Source organism: Homo sapiens, chromosome 4 (genome assembly GCF_000001405.40).
Source record: "Homo sapiens chromosome 4, GRCh38.p14 Primary Assembly".
In the NCBI taxonomy this organism is placed as follows: domain Eukaryota; kingdom Metazoa; phylum Chordata; class Mammalia; order Primates; family Hominidae; genus Homo; species Homo sapiens.
In genome coordinates, this window is record NC_000004.12 from 158,685,310 (window position 1) to 158,705,300 (window position 19,991).

The 19,991-nt window shown below is 37.8% G+C and overlaps 1 protein-coding gene and 1 non-coding gene across 4 annotated transcripts in view; both read left to right on the forward strand.

Annotated features, from left to right (window-relative positions):
- Positions 1 to 19,991, forward strand: part of ETFDH (electron transfer flavoprotein dehydrogenase) — a 37,328-nt gene that overhangs the window by 13,014 nt on the left and 4,323 nt on the right. For all 3 annotated transcript variants that reach the window (NM_004453.4, NM_001281737.2, NM_001281738.1), the window contains 5 exons: positions 5,039 to 5,116; positions 10,188 to 10,334; positions 12,250 to 12,390; positions 13,678 to 13,821; positions 18,114 to 18,282. In NM_004453.4, the coding sequence (NP_004444.2) occupies positions 5,039 to 5,116; positions 10,188 to 10,334; positions 12,250 to 12,390; positions 13,678 to 13,821; positions 18,114 to 18,282 (679 nt within the window). The remainder of the gene's footprint in view (positions 1 to 5,038; positions 5,117 to 10,187; positions 10,335 to 12,249; positions 12,391 to 13,677; positions 13,822 to 18,113; positions 18,283 to 19,991) is intronic.
- On the forward strand, positions 15,382 to 15,600 carry LOC124900922 (small nucleolar RNA U3). Its single transcript, XR_007058556.1, has one exon. It is a non-coding gene; the product is annotated as a small nucleolar RNA U3 (small nucleolar RNA).

Genomic DNA, 19,991 nt, shown 5'->3' on the forward strand with positions numbered 1-19,991 from the left:
TTTTAAAAGCCATGGGATTTTAGAATTATAAGATTAGAAGGAATCTTTAAAGTATCTAATCCAAAGAGTACTTGAATTCCTCATGTTGTACCCCCATCAAGTGATTATCCAACTTATGATTGATCACCATAAGGGATGAAAAATTGTAGATTGTTGGTAATCTCTTCCTTATTTTGAACAGAACTTACCTATGGTTTTATACTATCCAGAACAAATCTATGCCCTCTTCCAAGGACAACTTTCTAATTATAATTATTCCCTGCTCTCTCTTCCTCCCTATCTTTACTCTGGAATTTTTTTTTATTTCCCAGTATAGGGGTGGTATAGGAGTTAAGGGAAAGGTTTGTCTCTGCCCTCTGAAGGTTCACCAGAAATGAACTGACAATAGACAGAGTAATAGGAGAAGAAGCATAGAGATTTATTTAACATGCATAAGCACAAGAGAATGATGACCCGATAACCCAGTGAGGTCCAAATGCTTATCTACCTTTCAGCAGAAGGGAAGGGGAAATTGGGTGTTTAGCAATCTTGAAAGGAAGTGAATGATTTTTAGGGAAAATGAATGCACCCAAGACACAGAAATTAACTTGTAAATGATTCTCTTTGGAATTTGAATGAGCCTGAGAGGCAGGCATGATCTTATGAAAAAGTGTTTGTCTAGGTGTAGTTGCTTTTTTCTGTTTTCTTTTCTGCAATAGATATTAACAATAAGATTTCAGGAATGGGATGGAAGACCATTGTGTTCTCTTTGGCAGGTCCAGTCTTAAGGTAGAGAATGGAATATCAGAGAAGAGCCGCATCCAGTGCTTTAGAAGAGATAGGATTGAAAGACAGGAGGAGGGGAAGGTCAGAGAGACCTTGAAGCTGCTGCTTTGGTTTAGCATGCCAGAGTGCCATATTTTAGCCTATCATTTTCTGAGCCCCAATAGCAGAAAGGTGTGATACCCTTCCTCACCCATCATAAGGGTCATAGCTGACACTCCTATAACAAAAGACAGGGTAACAAGAAAAACATACCGCATTTGTTTAATCAAAGTTTTACATGATATGAAATCCTTCAGAAATAAAGGCCCCAAAGACCCAGGGGAAACCATTTTTATGCTTAGGTACAATAAGAATGGACAGCCATGTTGAAATGTGATTAGACAGAAGGGTATGATCTAACGGTAGTAGACTGAGAGAGGAAGCTAAGCAAGGCCTGTCTGTTCACATTCTCTTTGGCCTTTTTGTGTAGCATTTCTTCCTCCGAGGTATGGCTGGAGCAGAACTCCTCTGGAGTGAGAGTTTTCAAGGGGAAAGGGAGAAGTAAGAAAATAACCTTTCTAGGTTTTATGGCCTGTATTAAGGGAGAGGATTTCAGGTTTCTATGACTCAACCTTGAGGAAGAGGAATCCTGGTTTCTATGACTTGCTTTAGGGGAGAAAGAGGGATGGGAGAAGGTAAGAAAGACCTTGTTTCTGAGGCCTTCCAGTCTTTCTTCAGTTCCAGGTACTCAGCATAGGGGCTGAGTGCCAAGGTAAGACTTCCCCCTCACCCTCTGAAGGTTCATAGAAAAATTGGCTCACAAGAGGCAGGTTAGCAGGAGAAAAGGCATACAGGTTTATCAGCGTGCATGAAGGGAATATTACAGAGTGATGACCCTGCCACACAATGGGGTACAGTTATATGCCTTTCTTGGTAGGGAAAATGGAGATGGAGAAGTATGGATGACTTTAGGGGGATAGTAGGTGATTTTTAGGGGAATTCAGTGGGCTTGAAGAACATACAGCAACCTGGGACAAAGTCTCTTGAGCCTGCAGAGGAAACAATGGTTTCTGACAGAAGCCTGTCCAAGTTTATTGACAGACTTCAGTCATTCTTCCTGCAATATGAGTTCAGTTCATGAAAACTCAGGAAAGGGACCAGAAGTAATTGTTTGCTTCTTTGGTAGGCCCGTATTTTAGGAAGATAAGGGAACTTCAGAGAACAACTTCATCCTGTGCTTTGGGAGAGACAGACGATTAAGAGACAGGGACAGTTGGCCAGGGAAGGTCAGAGAGACATTGAAGCTTCTTCAGTTCAGCATGTCAAAGCACCATATTTTGGGATATCGGTTTCTGAGCCTCAACATCAGCATGCCAGGGACATACTTTTTAGGGTATTATCTTAAGAGCCCCAGCACTAGCTTAAATATTCTCAGTGCTTTCAGCCATGACGGTACATAATTTGAGTTTTGAGTTCTTTCAGTATTCTTGCTGCCCACTTCTGAATGGAACCTCTTCTTACCCCCTTTACAAAGTGGCACCCAGAATGAATAAACCACTTCATGTCTAGTGTAGAACTGTTATCTTCTCCATTCTAGAAACTGGTCTTCCATTAATTCCCTCAAAGTAATTACTTTTTTGGCAACTACATCACACTATTGATTCTTATTATGCATTACTGGGGAAATTATTAAAAATAAAATCTTGGCCGGGCGCAGTGGCTCATGCCTGTAATCCCAGCACTTTGGGAGGCCAAGGCAGGCAGGTCACGAGGTCAGGAGATCAAGACCATCCTGGATAACATGGTGAAACCCCGTCTCTACTAAAAATACGAAAAATTAGCCGGGCATGGCGGCACGTGCCTGTAATCCTAGCTACTTGGGAGGCTGAAGCAGGAAAATTGCTTGAACCCAGAAGGCAGAGGTTGCAGTGGGCCGAGATCATGCCACTGCACTCCAGCCTGGGTGACAGAGCGAGATTCCATCTCAAAAAATAAAAAATAAAATCGCCTGAGGACCCAGAAAAATTCTCTTCATAAATTATAAAAAAGAATGAAACAGGCCAGGTGCAGTGACTCATGCCTGTTATCCCAGCACTTTGGGAGGCCCAGGTGGGCGGATCACGAGGTCAAGAGATCGAGACCATCCTGGCCAACATGGTGAAACCCCCTCTCTACTAAAAATACAAAAATTAGCTGGGTGTGGTGGCAGGCGCCTGTAGTCCCATCTACTCAGGAGGCTGAGGCAGGAGAATCACTTGAACCCGGGAGGCAGAGGTTGCAGTGAGCCGAGATGGTGCAACTGCACTCCAGCCTGGCAACAGAGTGAGACTCTGTCTCAAAAAAAAAAAAAAAAAGGGCACAGTGGCTCACACCTGTAATCCCAGCACTTTGGAAGGCTGAGGTGGGCGGATCACGAGGTCAGGAGATCGAGACCATGGGGAAACCCTGTCTCTACTAAAAGTACAAAAGATTAGCTGGGCGTGGTGGTGGGCACCTGTAGTCCCAGCTACTTGGGAGGCTGAGGCAGGAGAATGTCGTGAACCCGGGAGGCAGAGCTTGCAGTAAGTCGAGATCACGCCACTGCACTCCAGCCTGGGTGACAGAGCAAGAGTCCATCTCAAAAAAACAAAAAAAAAGAACGAAACAGTTTTATTCTTGAATTAGGCTTAAACCAAGACTGATGCATATCACAGGCCAAGACAGAAATCTCACCCTTTTAAATAGCCAGGTAGATACAATCCATTCATTACATACATGTTAACTGTTTTTACAGATACAATCTATTCATTACATACATGTTAACTGTTTTTACTCTAAGGAAAAATAAAATATCTCGTTTTTTTGTTGTTGGTTTTTTTGTTTGTTTTGTTTTTTGACAAGCAGGAAGTTACAACTTAGAGCCAAACACCTACCCAAATTCCCATAGACACAGGAAGACAGGAGGCATCCTTCTTGGTGTTCCATTTCAAAGCAATGGCTCCAAAGCCCTAAAAAAGACATTCCTGGAATGCAGTTTAAAAAGACTGCCATGTATCTCAGAGAGACAAATAAAGGATTTACAGTTGGAAGTTTGCTAAAGGAAATGCTGAAAGAAAAGTTATTGGCAGCAAGGAAAATTCAGTTTTTTTTATTTGTTTTTACCCTTACAGTTTGTAAGTCAAATAAAACACGTAGGTCCCTGTATTATACTTGCTGCTATAAATTTCTGTTTTCCTAACCCATATACATGCATTTGGGGTTTTTGGACCCAAGTGTGGGATTTTGCATTTCTCCTTGTTAAACATTGTTGACTGGAATCGGTGTCAAAGTCACAGGTAGGTGGTTTGTAGAATCCATGATTTTCACTTTTGGAATACATACATGAACACTTATAGTCACTTGTATCACTTTTCTTTTTCTCGGGTCCTTAATGATTACCATCAACAGATTATTGATCTCTTTGCCAGGGTTTTTTGAGGGTACACTGAGCCAAACTTCAGTTTAGTCTGTAGCCATATTCTGCTGTTGATTTGTTCGTTTTCAGGATCTCAAATAAAACCTTCATATATATATATATATATATATATATATATATATATATATATTGTGGGGGGGTGGGTTCATATCCATTGCTGCTAATCTTTTCTTGTACTTCTCCATGCCCATGCTTTCTTACAATCTGCTGTGTAATTGCATTGTACATTTTGTACTTTACTATCCAGCGAGCATTTTCCTCCACAGAGAAAACAGAAACCAAGGGTTACAGACTATTGCTATTTCTCCTCATCAGAATTACACTTTTGACCTATTTTCCCCTTTTTTCTTGCTCCAAAAATAAACTTTTATCATCCTTGGTCTGTCTTCAGCTTCTCCCTGTTTTGTTTTATTTTTGTTTATTGAATGAAGTCTTCACTCATTTGAGATGTAAGCTTTCCTGACAGTTTCTCTCCACCTTCATGTTCTTCATGTGTTACAGGCCTCCATTTCAGATTCTTTACACGATTTGACATCTGAAGGGCACTTCTTGTTTAATCTTACTGGTTTCCCTAGTAATCTCTCTAGTAGTCTCCCCCTTTTCTTTCTCATCAAGGTTGTGGCATTGTTTTCATTTCCCATTGTGCGAGCTCTGTTCTTTAATACTCTGGAAGGGAGTACCTTAATACATGTCTCTTTATTACCTGAACATTTTAAACTCTGTATTTCTATAATCTAGAGAAGATGTTCACCTTCTAAGAAACCTAAGGCTGTTTACTGTTTTTTTCAAGATTATTATGAATTCTAAGGTATTAATAAATTTGTTTTTTATCATTTTTAGGTCCTTTTTCATGATGATGGTAGTGTAAAAGGAATTGCCACTAACGATGTAGGGATACAAAAGGATGGTGCACCAAAGGTAAACCTTTTTAATAGTTACGTGCTTAATAAAGCGACAAACAACAGAAAGAACTGTGTGGGCATCAAAGTGAAACCCCATCTCTCCAAAAAAAGAAAACAAAATTAGCTGGGCTTCGTGGTATACACCTGTAGTCCTAGCTACTTTGGAGGCTGAAACAGGAGGATCACTTGAGCCCAGGAGTTCGAGGCTGCAGTGAGTCATAATCACGCCACTTCATTTCAGCTTGGGTGAGTGACAGAGCAAAACCCTGTCTTAAAAAAAAAGAAGAAGAAAGAACCAACTTTGACTTAATAAAGGTCTTGCTACAAACTGTACATTAATTATATGGGTGTTGGGATGCCAAGGCAGATAGATCACTTGAACCCAGGAGTTTGAGAACTTCCTGAGCAACATGGTGAGACCCTGTCTCTATCAAAAATACAAAATTAGCCAGTCTTATAACCTGGTCTCAAAATAAATAAATAAATAAATAAATAAAAATTTTTAAAATGTCAAAAAATGTGGGTGTTAGAATACAGTAATTAATATGGAATTTTTCTTTCATTAAAAAATATAGAAGCAACTTTGAGCTAACAATGGTTTAGGCAAGTAGTTATAATATGTTTAAAAATTTTTTAAAAGATAATAACATACAAATATACAAACATAAGTCAAACACATGTCAAAGATTTTATTTCATTTAGTTAAGGAGAGAATCAGTAAGATGTTACAACCAGTGCAAGGAGAATTCAAACATATACACATTTATAGGCCATCAATCCACTGCATTAACCAAATACATCAAATGAAAATAGTTTCCACAGTTTTTATTTCTCCACAATTTTCATTTCTTTGGACAAGAATCATTTTGCATTACTATCAGTAGGTAAATAGTGATATACTTTGACATGTTTGTTTGTTTGTTTGTTTGTTTTGAGACGGAGTTTCATTCTGTTGCCCAGGCTGGAGTGCAGTGGTGCAATCTTGGCTCACTGCAACCTCTGCTTTCCAGGTTCAAGTAGTTATCCCGCCTCAGCCTCCCGAGTAGCTGGGATTACAGGCGTGCGCCACCATACCTGGCTACTTTTTGTATTTTTATTAGAGATGGGGTTTTGCCATGTTGGCCACGCTGGTCTTGAACTCCTGTCCTAGTAATCCACCCACCTCGGCCTCCCAAATTGCTGGGATTACAGGCGTGAGCCACCGTGCCTGGCCTTTATCACAGTATTCTTAAGCACTTTGACATGATTTTAACATCTTTTGGTAGATATAAAACTGATTCTCCACCTCCCATTCAAAATATAAACCTGGATAATTTTCAGGTTTTCACATCTTGTATTTTTGAATCTGAAAGCAAAACCGTTAGAACATAGAATTCTCACTCTTTGGAAAAGATAAGGAAAAAAATAGCTTGCTGTCCTATAATATGAACAAAACACAAATTAACATCTCAATCAACTAACCTGCCTATTCAGGTTTATTTATTATCCAATTTCCCAACTAGATTATAAGCTCCCTAAGGATGGAGATCCTGGGGTTATTCTAGTGCCTGGCATAATGCCAGGTACCTATTAGGTATCAGTAAATATGTGTCAACTGATAGTTTATCCTCCTCTCTGCCACTCTTGGAATAGAATTAGGAATCTACAGTCTCTTCCAGCAGATTTTCTCCTTCTCACATTTCCTGCTTTAAAAGCAAATAGCGGCCCGTCGCAGTGGCTCACGCCTGTAATCCCAGCACTTTGGGAGGCTGAGGCAGGCAGATCACGAGGTCAGGAGATAGAGACCATCCTGGCTAACACGGTGAAACCCTGTCCCTACTGAAAAAAAAAATACAAAAAAATTAGCCGGGCGTAGTGGCGCACGCCTGTAATCCCAGCTGTTCGGGAGGCTGAGGCAGGAGAATGGCGTGAACCCAGGAGGCGGAGCTTGCAGTGAGCCGAGATCACACCACTGCACTCCAGCCTGGGCTACAGAGCGAGACACCGTCTCAAAAAAAAAAAAAAAAAAAAAAAAAGCAAATGGCAAATCCTGTTTGGGACTCCTAGTGGTTTAACTGACCCCATCAGAATCATGTGACATCTTGGGGCTCAGCCTGTCCTGCAGTAAGGCCTAAGAAGCTGTTTTTTAACAAGCCTCCAGGGATTCCGATGCATAGCCAGGTTTGTAAAGAACTGTTATCTCATACTGCCTCTCAGTAAAAGAATATGGTTTTTCATATATTACGGTTCTTTTCTATATTATGACTAATTATAAATTATATTTTAGTCTAAATATTTTTATATTTTATATTATAACAAAATTGAAGCACACAAATTCTACCATTCTGATATTTCATTTTTGTGTGTTCTCATTTGTTCAAATATGGGCTTATTTCAGGTGGCAGAGGTTGCAGTGAGCCACGATCGCACCACTGCACTCCAGCCTGGACGACAGAGTGAGACTCCATCTAAAAAAAAAAAAAAGATTAAAAAAAAAAAAACATATATATATATATATATGGTTTTTAACTTTATGCTTTGCATTTGTAAAAACGTTTACATTTTGTATGTTGTATTTATACAGATCTAATAGCATAGAAGAGTACAATGGAGTCTTAGTAATTTGAGCCCCAAAATCTAAGTTTTTAAAAATAGTACTACCACAAGATTAGAGTGGGGAAAATCAAAGATTCTGTTTAAGGTGTTGTTCCATTCTCTATTTAACCCACTGTAGCTAAGCTTTCTCCCTGCGATTTCACTGAAACAGCTCTTGTTAGAGTCACAAATACCTCCATTTTGCCAATCTGGTGGACAGGTCTCTGTTTTCCCTTACTTGACCTTCTAGTGGGTAGCACTTGACACAGTTGGATTATGTTTTCCTTCTTGAAACACTTTTTTGACTTGGCTCTCTTACAGCCTTCTCTTGGTTCCTATCTCCAATATGCATCTTATCATAAGAATTCTGATTTGGACATTTTTAAGTTACAGAGGTTAAGTAACTTGGCTGGGGTCAGACACCTGGTAAGTAGTAGGGCTGGGATTTGAATACAGGCTGTGTGGCTCCACGGCCTGTCCCTTGAACACTAAAGGGCATGTTACCTCTAAGAAGAAACAGAAATATGTTCATGAATATTTTAGTTCATACAGATTGAATTGTTTTATAAGTGGTGCTGGGGAAACTATATCCATCTGGAAGCAAATAGAGTTGGACCCCGGTTTGCTGGTTGTTTCTTTCTGGTGATTTAAAGATCTAAAACAATACAAATCAGAAATCTAAGAGATGACAGTTAACAATTTTGGTGTAGGGTAAGCCACCCTACCGCAACAAGATACTAAAAACCTGTGAAAAAACAGACAAACCTTTTTTAACTTAATATATAAAAGTTAAACACTTCTTTATACCAAAGTATACTATAAAGTCTGTAAATGTTTGACTGTCTGTAATATCAAGGTGCACTTAAACATCGACAAGAAAAAAGACAACACATTGGAAAAATGGGTAGAGTCTAAAAAATTAACAATTCGTAGAAGAACAACTCCAATGACCACTAATCATAAGTAAAGATACTTAAATATGTTTTTTTCAGAGTCCAGAGGTTAAATGTCATTTCTTCAAAGAGGACTTTCCTGATCACTCAATCTAGAATAGCTGGCTTCTATTATTCTCCCTTGTAATACCCTCTGCTCTCTTTCATAGCACTTAAACAATTTGTAATTATATACTCATGTATTTATTTAATGTCTGTCTGTCTATGGCTAGTCCAAAGAAAAGGAACGTATATTTTTTTCAATTCATCCATGTATTCCCAATGCCTAGCACAGAACCTGGCACATTGTAGGTATTCATTCACTATTTCTTGAATCAAAAAGAAAAGATGCTCAAAATAGTAATCAGGGAAATGCAAATTAAAATAGTATTGAGGGCCAGGCACCATGGCTCACACTTGTAATCCCAGCACTTTGGGAGGCCAAGGTGGGTGGATCATCTGAGGTCAGGAGTTCGAGACCAGCCTGGCCAACATGGTGAAACCCTGTCTCTACTAAAAATACAAAAAGTTAGCTGGGCTTGGTGGCGGGTGCCTGTAATCCCAGCTACTCAGGAGGCTGAGGCAGGAGCATAGCTTGAACCCTGGAGGCGGAGGTTGCAGTGAGCCGAGATTGTGCCATTGCACTCCAGCCTGGGCAACAAGAGCACAACTCTGTCTCAAAAAAAAAAAAAAATTAAAAAATTAAAAAATAAAATAGTTATCACACTTGATACACTAGCAAAAATGTAAAAGGAACAGTTATATCTGTCACTAACTGTACTATAGGGAAAGGGTCTTATATACTACTGATGGAAATATATGCATTGCTTCAGGCTTTTTGGAAAGTAATATGATAATATCAATTTTAAAAAAATAGATGTACCCTTTGATCTAAGAGGGCCACTCCTGGGAATCTATCTTATAGGAATAAAAGCACCAATATTGTACGTGTATACAGGTGTCCCTTGGTGTGCACGGTAGACTGGCTCCATGACCCTCCAAGTATACCAAAATTCATGCATACTCAAGTCCCAAAGTTAGCCCTGCAGAACTCACATATATGAAAAATCGGTCTTCCATATATTCGGGTTTCACATCTGGTGAATATTGTATTTTCAATCCTCATTTGGTTAAAAATAAGTCCTTGTATATGTGAACCCACACAGTTGAAACCCATCTTGTTCAAGGGTCAGCTCTATATTAAATATATATTCAAGAGTGTTTGTATCTTATAACATTGTTTATGTTCATGCGTAAGCTGGAAACAGTGAATGGCTATTATCCATTGGCAGAGGAGCTGGATAATCTATCCTGTCTCTCTACATGGACTACTACCTAGTCATTAAAGAGAAAGATTTGAGCTATACAGTGACTTGAAAAGATTTCCATGAGGTATTTTAAGTGAGAAGAGTAAGATTATATGATTCTATATATTATATATTTACTATGTGATTCTTTATAATATTATACATTTGCACTGTCTCTTCTACATCTGAATCATAGTTCAATTTAAATCTGACCAGAATGTGAATGTATTTTAAATTGTCAAATGTTGCCATTTAACATGTTTTTGCTTTTCAGGCAACATTTGAGAGAGGACTGGAACTACATGCTAAAGTCACAATTTTTGCAGAAGGTTGCCATGGACATCTAGCCAAGCAACTATATAAGAAGTTTGATTTGAGAGCAAATTGTGAACCTCAAACCTACGGGATTGGACTGAAGGAGGTATCCTGGTTTGTTTCTGTAATTTTAATTTTGAAAGATGGAATTTAAATTTATTTGTATTATCAGGTAGTTTATAATACTGATTTAATTTTAGTTATATTTTTTCATTGTCTTGAAATGTTCATTATGACTAAAACTTATTTGCGATATTTTTCAAGGGGCTAGAAGATATTACTGATCAAATTATATTACTGGTTAAGTTAGTTTTACATGTTGGAATTGTCGTATCAAGTGTTGCTTGAAGTGAATCTTGAACTTGTGAATATTTGAATCTTTTTTATTTTCATTGTAATGCCATCTGCCCTGTTAGGATTGTTCTTGTTATCCATATGCTGTTTGTAGGATGACCACATCCTACGAAGAATTATTTTTTTCAAAATTGTAATGTGAAGTTAATTTTCTTTATGAAAGACACACTCAGCCATAGTATATTAATCTGCAACCTAAAATTTAATTAGGTTATGCATTGTACATTTTCTCAATTTATCCATTCTCTAGTCTTATTTTCCCAAATCCTAGGCTTATTAGAATGTAAATGTAAAATTTTCATTATAACCCTTTTGCTTAAATATTTTTGTGGAGCTAGCAATGGTGGCCCACACCCATAACCCCAGCATTTTGAGAGGCCAAGGCAAGATGATTGCTTGGGTCCAGGAGTTCAAGACCTGCCTGGGCAATGTAGTGAGACCTCATCTCTACTGAAAATTTAAAAATTAGCCAGGTGTGGTGGTGCACACCTGTAGTCCCAGCTACTCTGGAGGCTGAAGCAGGAGAACCACTTCACTCCAAGAGATCAAGACTGCAGTGACCTGTGATCATACCACTGCACCCTACCCTGGGTGACAGAGTGAGATCCTATCTCTAAAAAAAAAAAGAATATAGTAATTAACAACAAAAAATTTATTTTAGGTTAAATCTCAGAAAGGTTCAAAGTCTATATAAAACTAGATTCATTATATTGTGAATAAGGGTTTGTTTTGATAGATTGCATATGTCTGATTGCACATAATATTATCTGACTTAGATAAAATTTCAGATAGAAATTGTTCAGAATTTAAAATTTACCAGTCTGAAAAGAGGGTGAACAATTTATTTCAATTGTGGGGGGCAGGGTAGAGGGAATAAATTGCTTTGTTGGAGAATACATGTCCATTATGAAGAGACCTTAAGTGTACAGCTACATTAATTTTTACATGGTGAACATATCCATGTGGCTGTCACCCAGATGAAGATAGAGAACACTACCAGTACCGCAGAACTTTCCCTCAGCCTTTCAGTAGGATTTCCTAATTTCCTATAATTGTATAAAAGTCTTTACCAATTTGAGAATCTATTTAATGTCTTAAAGAGTTCATAAGTTTTCTGACCTGTTTCTTTAATCTGACTCATGCTGCAGTTTGATATAATTTTCTTTGTTATTCAAGGTGATCCACCTGTATTCTTTTTTATTATTTTTTTATTTTTTTTTTGAGACTGAGTCATGCTCTCTCACCCAGGCTGGAGTGCAGTGGCATGATCTTGGCTCACCGCAACTTCTGCCTCCCGGGTTCAAGCAATTCTCACGCCTCAGCCTCCTGAGTAGCTGGGATTACAGGCATCCGCCACCATGCCTAGCTAATTTTTGTAGTTTTAGTAGAGACAGGGTTTTACCATGTTGGCCAGGATGGTCTCGAACTCCTGACCTCAAGTGATCTGCCCACCTCAGCCTCCCAAAGTGCTAGGATTGCAGGCGTGAGCCACCGTGCCCAGCCTTCTTTGATATTTGAAGTAATTTTGTTGTATTCTTATATCACAGTTTTTCACTTGTAATTTTCATAAATAAGACATTAAACCTGGCAAGTTTTATGCATTGTGGTGACATAAAAACATTTTTAAAATACTGCAGGACTTTTTTGTTTGCTTTTTTTTTTTTTAGTTATGGGTTATTGATGAAAAGAACTGGAAACCTGGGAGAGTAGATCACACTGTTGGTTGGCCCTTGGACAGACATACCTATGGAGGATCTTTCCTCTATCATTTGAATGAAGGTGAACCCCTAGTAGCTCTTGGTCTTGTGGTAAGTTATATTCCCATTAGGGAAAATTCTGCTGCTAGAGTTATATTACCATCAGTGTTATAAAATAAGGGTTTTGAATCTGAAGACTGTAAAATGCTTTTTATTTAAAGCTTTCTAATTTTATCAATATGTAAAGTGCTTATGGCTGCTGTGTCATTAAGTCTACTAAACACACGTAGCAATAGCAATAGTAGCTGCTACACTCCAGGCACTGTGCTGGATGCTTTTCTGAGATTTCTAAGTAAGTTTCATAATAACTGTGAAATAGGTATATCTTTATTTTACAGATGAGAAAACTGAAGTCCAAATAAGTTAAACAACTTACCCATATACACCCATTAAATAACAGGCAGAAATGCCTGACCTTGTCTGACCTCAAATCCCATTTCCACTGTGGCATGCTACCACTGAAAATGAAATCAGCACTAGATTTGAACTTAGAACTTTTTAAAAATACCAGCAGTTTCTCCTTTTTTGGCCTCCTACACATCTTTGCAGTAAATTACATGTTGAACATTACAAAGAATGGAAAAATTAGTTTCTGTACCTTGCAACTGGTGGCAGCTTTATAGTTTAGTGTCATGATTAGACCTCCATATGATACATTGTTAAATTTATGTGTTACTGGTGTTTTTTGACCCCCCAGTCCAATGTTCATCCCATCACCTTTGGATATTTATTCCTGTGACTTAATTGTATCAAAGGAAAAAGATGCAGTTAATTTTAACACTTTGGTAATGCATTATAAAATATAACCTTCTATATTTCTTTTCCTCTTTTTTTCTGAGTGTAGTTTACATCCTTTTTCTTTATTTTTGCCCCAGTTGTACTGTAGTATAGATTATTAGTTTCTTTCAAATTGGTATTGATTAATGTATAATAAATCATTACAGCTCCTTTCATAGAAACATAATCTGAGATGCTTACCTACAGATATTGTTCTAATTTGTTTTTTTTGTTGTTGTTCATTTTTATTTTCTAATCTCATGATAGATTGTTTTTCTAATTTGGACTTTGAGTTCCAGAGCACAAGGATTTCTTAATATGTTCTAAATTCTCATAATTTTGATGATAATAAACACATGCTATCCTTTTCTTTACCTTTTCTTTTCCAAACAGATTTTATACAATTTTTAATTTACATTTGGATTACTGCACATAGTGCTCCAAATACTTTTGAGTAAAAGAAATTTAACCTACATGTTTTCTGATAAACATTGCTTACATTTTAGCTTGATTTAATTTGAAATAAAAATGTCTAATTAAATATAAGTGTAAATTTTTAAGGTTGGTCTAGACTATCAGAATCCATACCTGAGTCCATTTAGAGAGTTCCAAAGGTGGAAACACCATCCTAGCATTCGGCCAACCTTGGAAGGTGGAAAAAGGATTGCATACGGAGCCAGAGCTCTCAATGAAGGTGGCTTTCAGGTAACTCTTCCAACTTTTATTTTCCTTGTTTCTGTATTATAAATTCAGAATTGAACATATAATGTAACAAATTTAGATAAAGAATAAAAACAATATTGGAATAGGAAAAGTATGTAGAGTTTATAAAACTGTGTCACACAATACTTCAATTACACCATGAATTTAGTTTTAAGAATATATTAGGCTGGGCACAGTGGCTCATACATGTAATCCCAGCACTTTGGAAGGCCGAGTTGGGTAGTCTGCCTGGGCAACATGGCGAAACCCCATCTCTACAACAAATGGAAAGATTAGCCAGGCATGGTGACGAGCGCCTGTGGTCCCAGCTACTCAGGAGGCTGAGACAGGAGAATCACTTGAGCCTAGGAGGTGGAGGTTGCAGTGAGCCAAGATTGTGCCACTGCACTCCAGCCTGAGCAGCAGAATAAGACTCCATCTCAAAAACAAAAGCAAAAAATAATATATTGATCTCTAGAGATAAATTCATGGACATTTTGTTTGTTAGTTGTTTTAACCAGAAAATAAAAACTGTAATCCATAATATTTCTCTGTTCCTTAACTGCCAGGAAACTCAAAGGCAAATTTAGTTTTCAGCAAACATAATTCATTCATTCCAACTACCTAGTAACATTCATGCCTTTTAGGTTACCTCTGTTAAGCTTTTACCTTAATTGTCCTATTTTTGTATACATTCAAAATCTTCTCAAATATAATGTATTCAGTATGTATTAAACAATGAAATAAGACCTAGTAGCTAATTGTCATAAAAGCTGTTAATACTGTTGTAGAAATGTTATCATACAGGTAAGATGATCTAAAAATGTGCTCTAAAGCTTGTACCAAATTATTTGGAGCAAGTTCTTTAACTTTGGCCTTAAGAGATCATCTGTAAAATAAAGATGATCCCTCTGTCTCTAATATTCTAGGAATCTAGGACTATCTTAGAAATTGGATTTCTTTTTAAAAACTTATTATAAAAGTAACAGATAATAGGAAAATTTGGGGAGGAGAAATTGCCTTATCTTTAAAAGTGAGGTTCTAAATACTTTATTACTGTAATAGTATTTCATAAACTCAAAACCATAGCTACATTATAAATATAATCACTAGAATCTTAAAATAATGCTGTCCCCAAAGTCTGTCATGAGATTACTTCTCATGAGATTGTTTTTGTTTCTAGAGTAGTAATTCCTTTGGTAGAAATATGTATTGAATTACATAACTGTATTCAAGCCTATTAAACTTTTAAAAATAATGTCCATAATAGTTACTGTCAATCTAACCCTACTCTAATTTATAAAGGTTTCAGTATATTCAATAGTACACCCAGATTTTTATTGAAAACCATCTACCTTGTGTACTTAAGCATGTCAAACATGTCAAATGATTTGCAAATTGACAGGAGATGACTCTCCCCTCCCCCCACCACACACACACACACGCACACACACACACACACACACACACACACTTACTTTTCACCTGAATTTTCTGATTTCATTGGCCAGAGATTCAGAAACTTATTTCCAGTTAAGGTCTTAAAGACCTTAAGAGGCAACAAAGACTATACTTTCAGGGATCATTTCTCTAGTTCAATACTACAGAAGTTTCTCTGAAGGTGTAGCAAGCACCAGAAACCACGAGGAAAGTGCAGTATTCTCTCCCAAGTGTGATGCCGCCCGTCTCTTGATGTTGCTTTGCTCAGCTGCCATTCGGCATTGATGATTGTTTTATCCTTCCTTAGGAAGAGTGAGAGGGAAAGGATGCAGTCCAAGTGGCTCCCATTTAGGTAAAGAAAAAGAAGAGGCAACAATTCGAAACATTCAGTTTTGTTTATTTTGAGCTAACAAATACTGTCTAACTTTTTTCTCCTTCTTCAGCTGACTATACCAAAAATCATCTTCCCCTAGTAGGTTTCTAATTACTTGTAGCCCTAGTTTAATGAATGTCCCAAACAAGGTGCGTAGCTGCTAGTAACCCAGCCCACCCAAGGTAGGATCCTCCTAGAACTTAAAAACATACATTTTCCTTGGGCGTAATATTTTTATTCTTAGGATTTAAGCACCTATTTTGGAAGAACTTGCACTCATAGTTTATATCCTTTTATTAAATTTCACATTCTTCTGGTTCTTGAATCGAACTTGGTGTCAACAAAGCCACAGCCTTATTTGAGAAAAGCATTGTCATCATCTAAGTCCCTAATCTTTATCTGTTTTCAGCTAGTAGCACTCCAGATAGCACCTCCTCCCCATTGTCTGCTCTGTGGTCCTGATTTAATGCTCTTTTATCTAAGTGGTCCTAATCCTGAGTTTGGTCTGAGAACCACAGTCATAAATTCATTCCCCACATATACTGTGAAAGGACCTGGGCCCTGATCCTTCTCTCTTACCAGCATTCCTTCTGCCCCCTAGTTTTGCTTTTCACCACTATTCCCTCACAGAATTGTATCACTGATGAGAGCTGTGGCGACAGAGTGCTCACCATGTCTCTTTTGCAGTTGGTGTCAATAGTTTTCTTGTTAGCTCCCTCCTCTGAGTCCCTCTTAATACCATCAGCCAAATGTACCACTCACCATTTTCTCAACAAAGACCCCATGGCTTACTTTAGGAAATCCTCAGAGAAGAAAAAAATACAGAATGTGGAAAGAACAACGCTGCTTGGCTCTCTTCTTTTCAAACTATAAGAGTACATTTTCCCATGCAAACAATCTATAGTTCAGTTGCCATATTGTGGGCTACATATGGACATTTATTGTCTAAACTGAAAAATATCCCACCCTTATTACATTGTTTTTTTTAATCAGAAATGTATACCAAGATCCAAAGAATTGTCTTTATCTATTTTATTTTGGAAATTCAGCTTGTCCTTAATCAAAATCTATTGTTTAGGGTAGTAGCTAGTTGCAGTGGTGCCATGATTAGAGCATAGGTTTCTATCCCTAGCTGTCAAAGTAAAATAAAGAGGGTGTATAGTATCCTTTGTAAGTCTTGTATTACCCCGAATGCATGTAAAAGCAAATCACAGGTTTTTTTTTTTTATATGCCCTTTGAAATTTTCAGGTCCACTTAATTTTGGGGGGAGAGAGGATACAATGTGATATTTCCATACATGTGTATAATGTTTAATGATCAAATCAGGGTAATTAGTATACCCATCACTTCAAACCTTTGTCATTTGTGTTGGTAATATTTAAAATCTTTCTTCTATTTGAAAAAAATAACAAATTATTCTTTATTATAGTCACTCTACAGTGCTATAGAACAATAGAACTTATTCCTCCTATTTAGCTGTATTTCTGTATACATTAACCAATCTCCATATCCCGCCCCCACGCCCCGCATCCCTTTCTACCATTCCCATCCTCTAGTAGCCACTGTTCTACTCTCCACTTCCATAAGATCAACTTTTTAAGTTTCCATATATGAGTGAGAACATAGGGTGTTTCTCTTTCTGTGCTTGACTGACTTAACATGTCTTCCAGGCTCATCCATGTTGTCACAGATGACAATATTTCATTTGTTCTTCCAGCTGAATAGTATTCCATTGTGTATATATATACCATGTTTCCTTGATCCATTCATCTGTTGATGGACACTTAGTTTGATTCCGTATCTTGGCAATTATTGTGAATAGTGCTGCAATAAATATGAGAGTGCAGATATCTCTTCCACATACTGACTTGCTTTCTTTTGGATATATACCCAATAGTGGGATGGCTGGGTCATATGGGTAGTTCTATTTGTAGCTTTTTTAAGGAACCTCTATACTGTTTTCCATAATGGTTGTACTAATTTACATTCCCACCAACAATGTGTGAGTTTTCTTTTTCCCACATCCTCACCAGTAAGTTTTTTGTCTTTTTGATAATAGCCATTCTAACTAGGGTGAAATGGTATCTCATTGTGGTTTTGATTTGCAAGCAAATCACAATTTAGATAACAGCATTCAGGTTTAGAGAATATTTTAACTATGACATGGATATGTGTAAATAAAACATTCTATTTAAAACATATTGATGCTTCAGTCATAAATCTGTCCCATGTAGATCAGTTATGAGGATGGAAAAAGAAAAACTCTCACAGAAAAATAGTAATAGTCTTAATCCTCACTCTTAGGGCAGGAAGAAGAAAACTGCCCTTGCTCTGTTTTATTCCTTTGCTCAATTCATTTTCATGTATTTATTTTTCAGCCTTTCCCTACAGCTCTAGAATACTTTAAGACTGATTTGGAGTATTCTGTTGTTCTTGTTTAATATGAACTAACAAATGTATTCTGAATCTTTGTTTCCTCAGTCTATACCAAAACTCACCTTTCCTGGTGGTTTACTAATTGGTTGTAGTCCTGGTTTTATGAATGTTCCCAAGATCAAAGGTACTCACACAGCAATGAAAAGTGGAATTTTAGCAGCAGAATCTATTTTTAATCAACTAACTAGTGAAAATCTCCAATCAAAGACAATAGGTAAGAAATTCCTGTGTAAAGTATACAAAAGAAAATTGCTGGGTTATGTGTATTTCAATTGACATTAAAAGATTTGTATTGCATCTGTCACTTTATAGAAAGTATTAATAAGCATGCTATGCAAAGAAAACTACATGGCTTATTCTCAATAATTACAGTCAGTGATTTTTTACTGTAATGTTCTGTTTTATTCACATCAAAAAAGTAGAAAAGTACCAGTGGTAGCCAGCCACGGTGGCTCACGCCTGTAATCCCAGCACTTTGGTAGGCTGAGGCGGGTGGATCATCTGAAGTCAGGAGCTCGAGACTAGCCTGGCCCACATGGTGAAACCCCGTCTCTACTAAAAATACAAAAAAATTAGCTGTGTGTGGTGGCGGGTGCCTGTAATCCCAGCTACTTGGGAGGCTGAGGCAGAAGAATCACTTGAACCTGGGAGGTGGAGGTTGCAGTGAGCTGAGATCGTGCCATTGCACTCCAGCCTGGGCAACAAGAGCAAAACTCCATCCCCCACACACAAAAAAGAAAAGAACCAGTGGTGTCCCACCTAGTTAGAAACTATTACAAATATGACAGTACTGCATTTATATTGCATACATGTAATACACACAATTAAGATACCTCCCAAATACCTAAGTATCAATAGAACAAACACCTTTACAAAAGGCAGAATTAGCTACCTATTCTTTAGCAAGCTTTGTAAGTATAGGCCTATGACTCTTCTGCTGTGGTGGAGAGAAACAGCCAGCACTTATACCTCCGTAAAGCTTTAATCTAAAAAGACCCTTTACCAACTCCAGCCACACTGGCTTCTTTACAGTTCCCAGAACATGCCAAGCACTCCCACCTCATGGTCTTTGCTCACGGCTGGCTCCTTTGTTCTCTTTCCCTTTGTTTAAATAGCACTCACAGTGGCCCTGCCTTGACCACACCAATTAATGCACAACACACAGCACACACCCAGTTCCCCCTGCATGGCCTTTTCTAGCGCATTTTCCACCTTTTGGTACATTATATTACTTACTTGTTTATCAACTTTTGTCTTCTGCCACTTGGATGAAAACTCCGAGACTAGAGGTATTGCTTAGTGTGAATCCTACATACCTGGCACACGGTAGCGACTCCATAGATATTTGATAAATGAGTCTTAATTCTTAGAATCCCCAGTAAATGTTCCTCTAGTTAGAGGTATGTAACCAGGTTATGCCTTCAAATCTTTGTAGGAATGGAGGCCTAGCGTGGGGAGATGAAGTGGAAAACAGAAAGGGCAAAGGGTACTACTTCAGGGAGAATGGAATAGCCAAGATGGAGTGCAGTGGCTGGGTAGAAGTTTTTTTCTAATTTTCTTGTCAAGTATCGTTCCTTGTTGGACCACCAGCCATACTTGAACTGTATCATGTGTATATAGTACCACACATAGATAATACTGGAGCCAGTATATCACCAAAGACTAGATTGAGGGTTAAAGCCTAAAGAAAAGGGGAGTGGAGCCAGAACAGGAAACAATGACTGGAAAAAGTAGTCATGTGGAGTCCACCAAAAGCCGTAAGGGAACCAATTTGTCCTCTTTATTAAGTGCATGCACCAAGTTTTCTCTATGAAGTGGTGGGTTTGTTTTTGTTTTTAGAGACAGGGTCTCTCTCTGTTGCCCAAGCTGGAGTGCAGTGCTGCAATCCTTGGTCTCTGCAATCTCAAATTCCTTGGCTCAAGC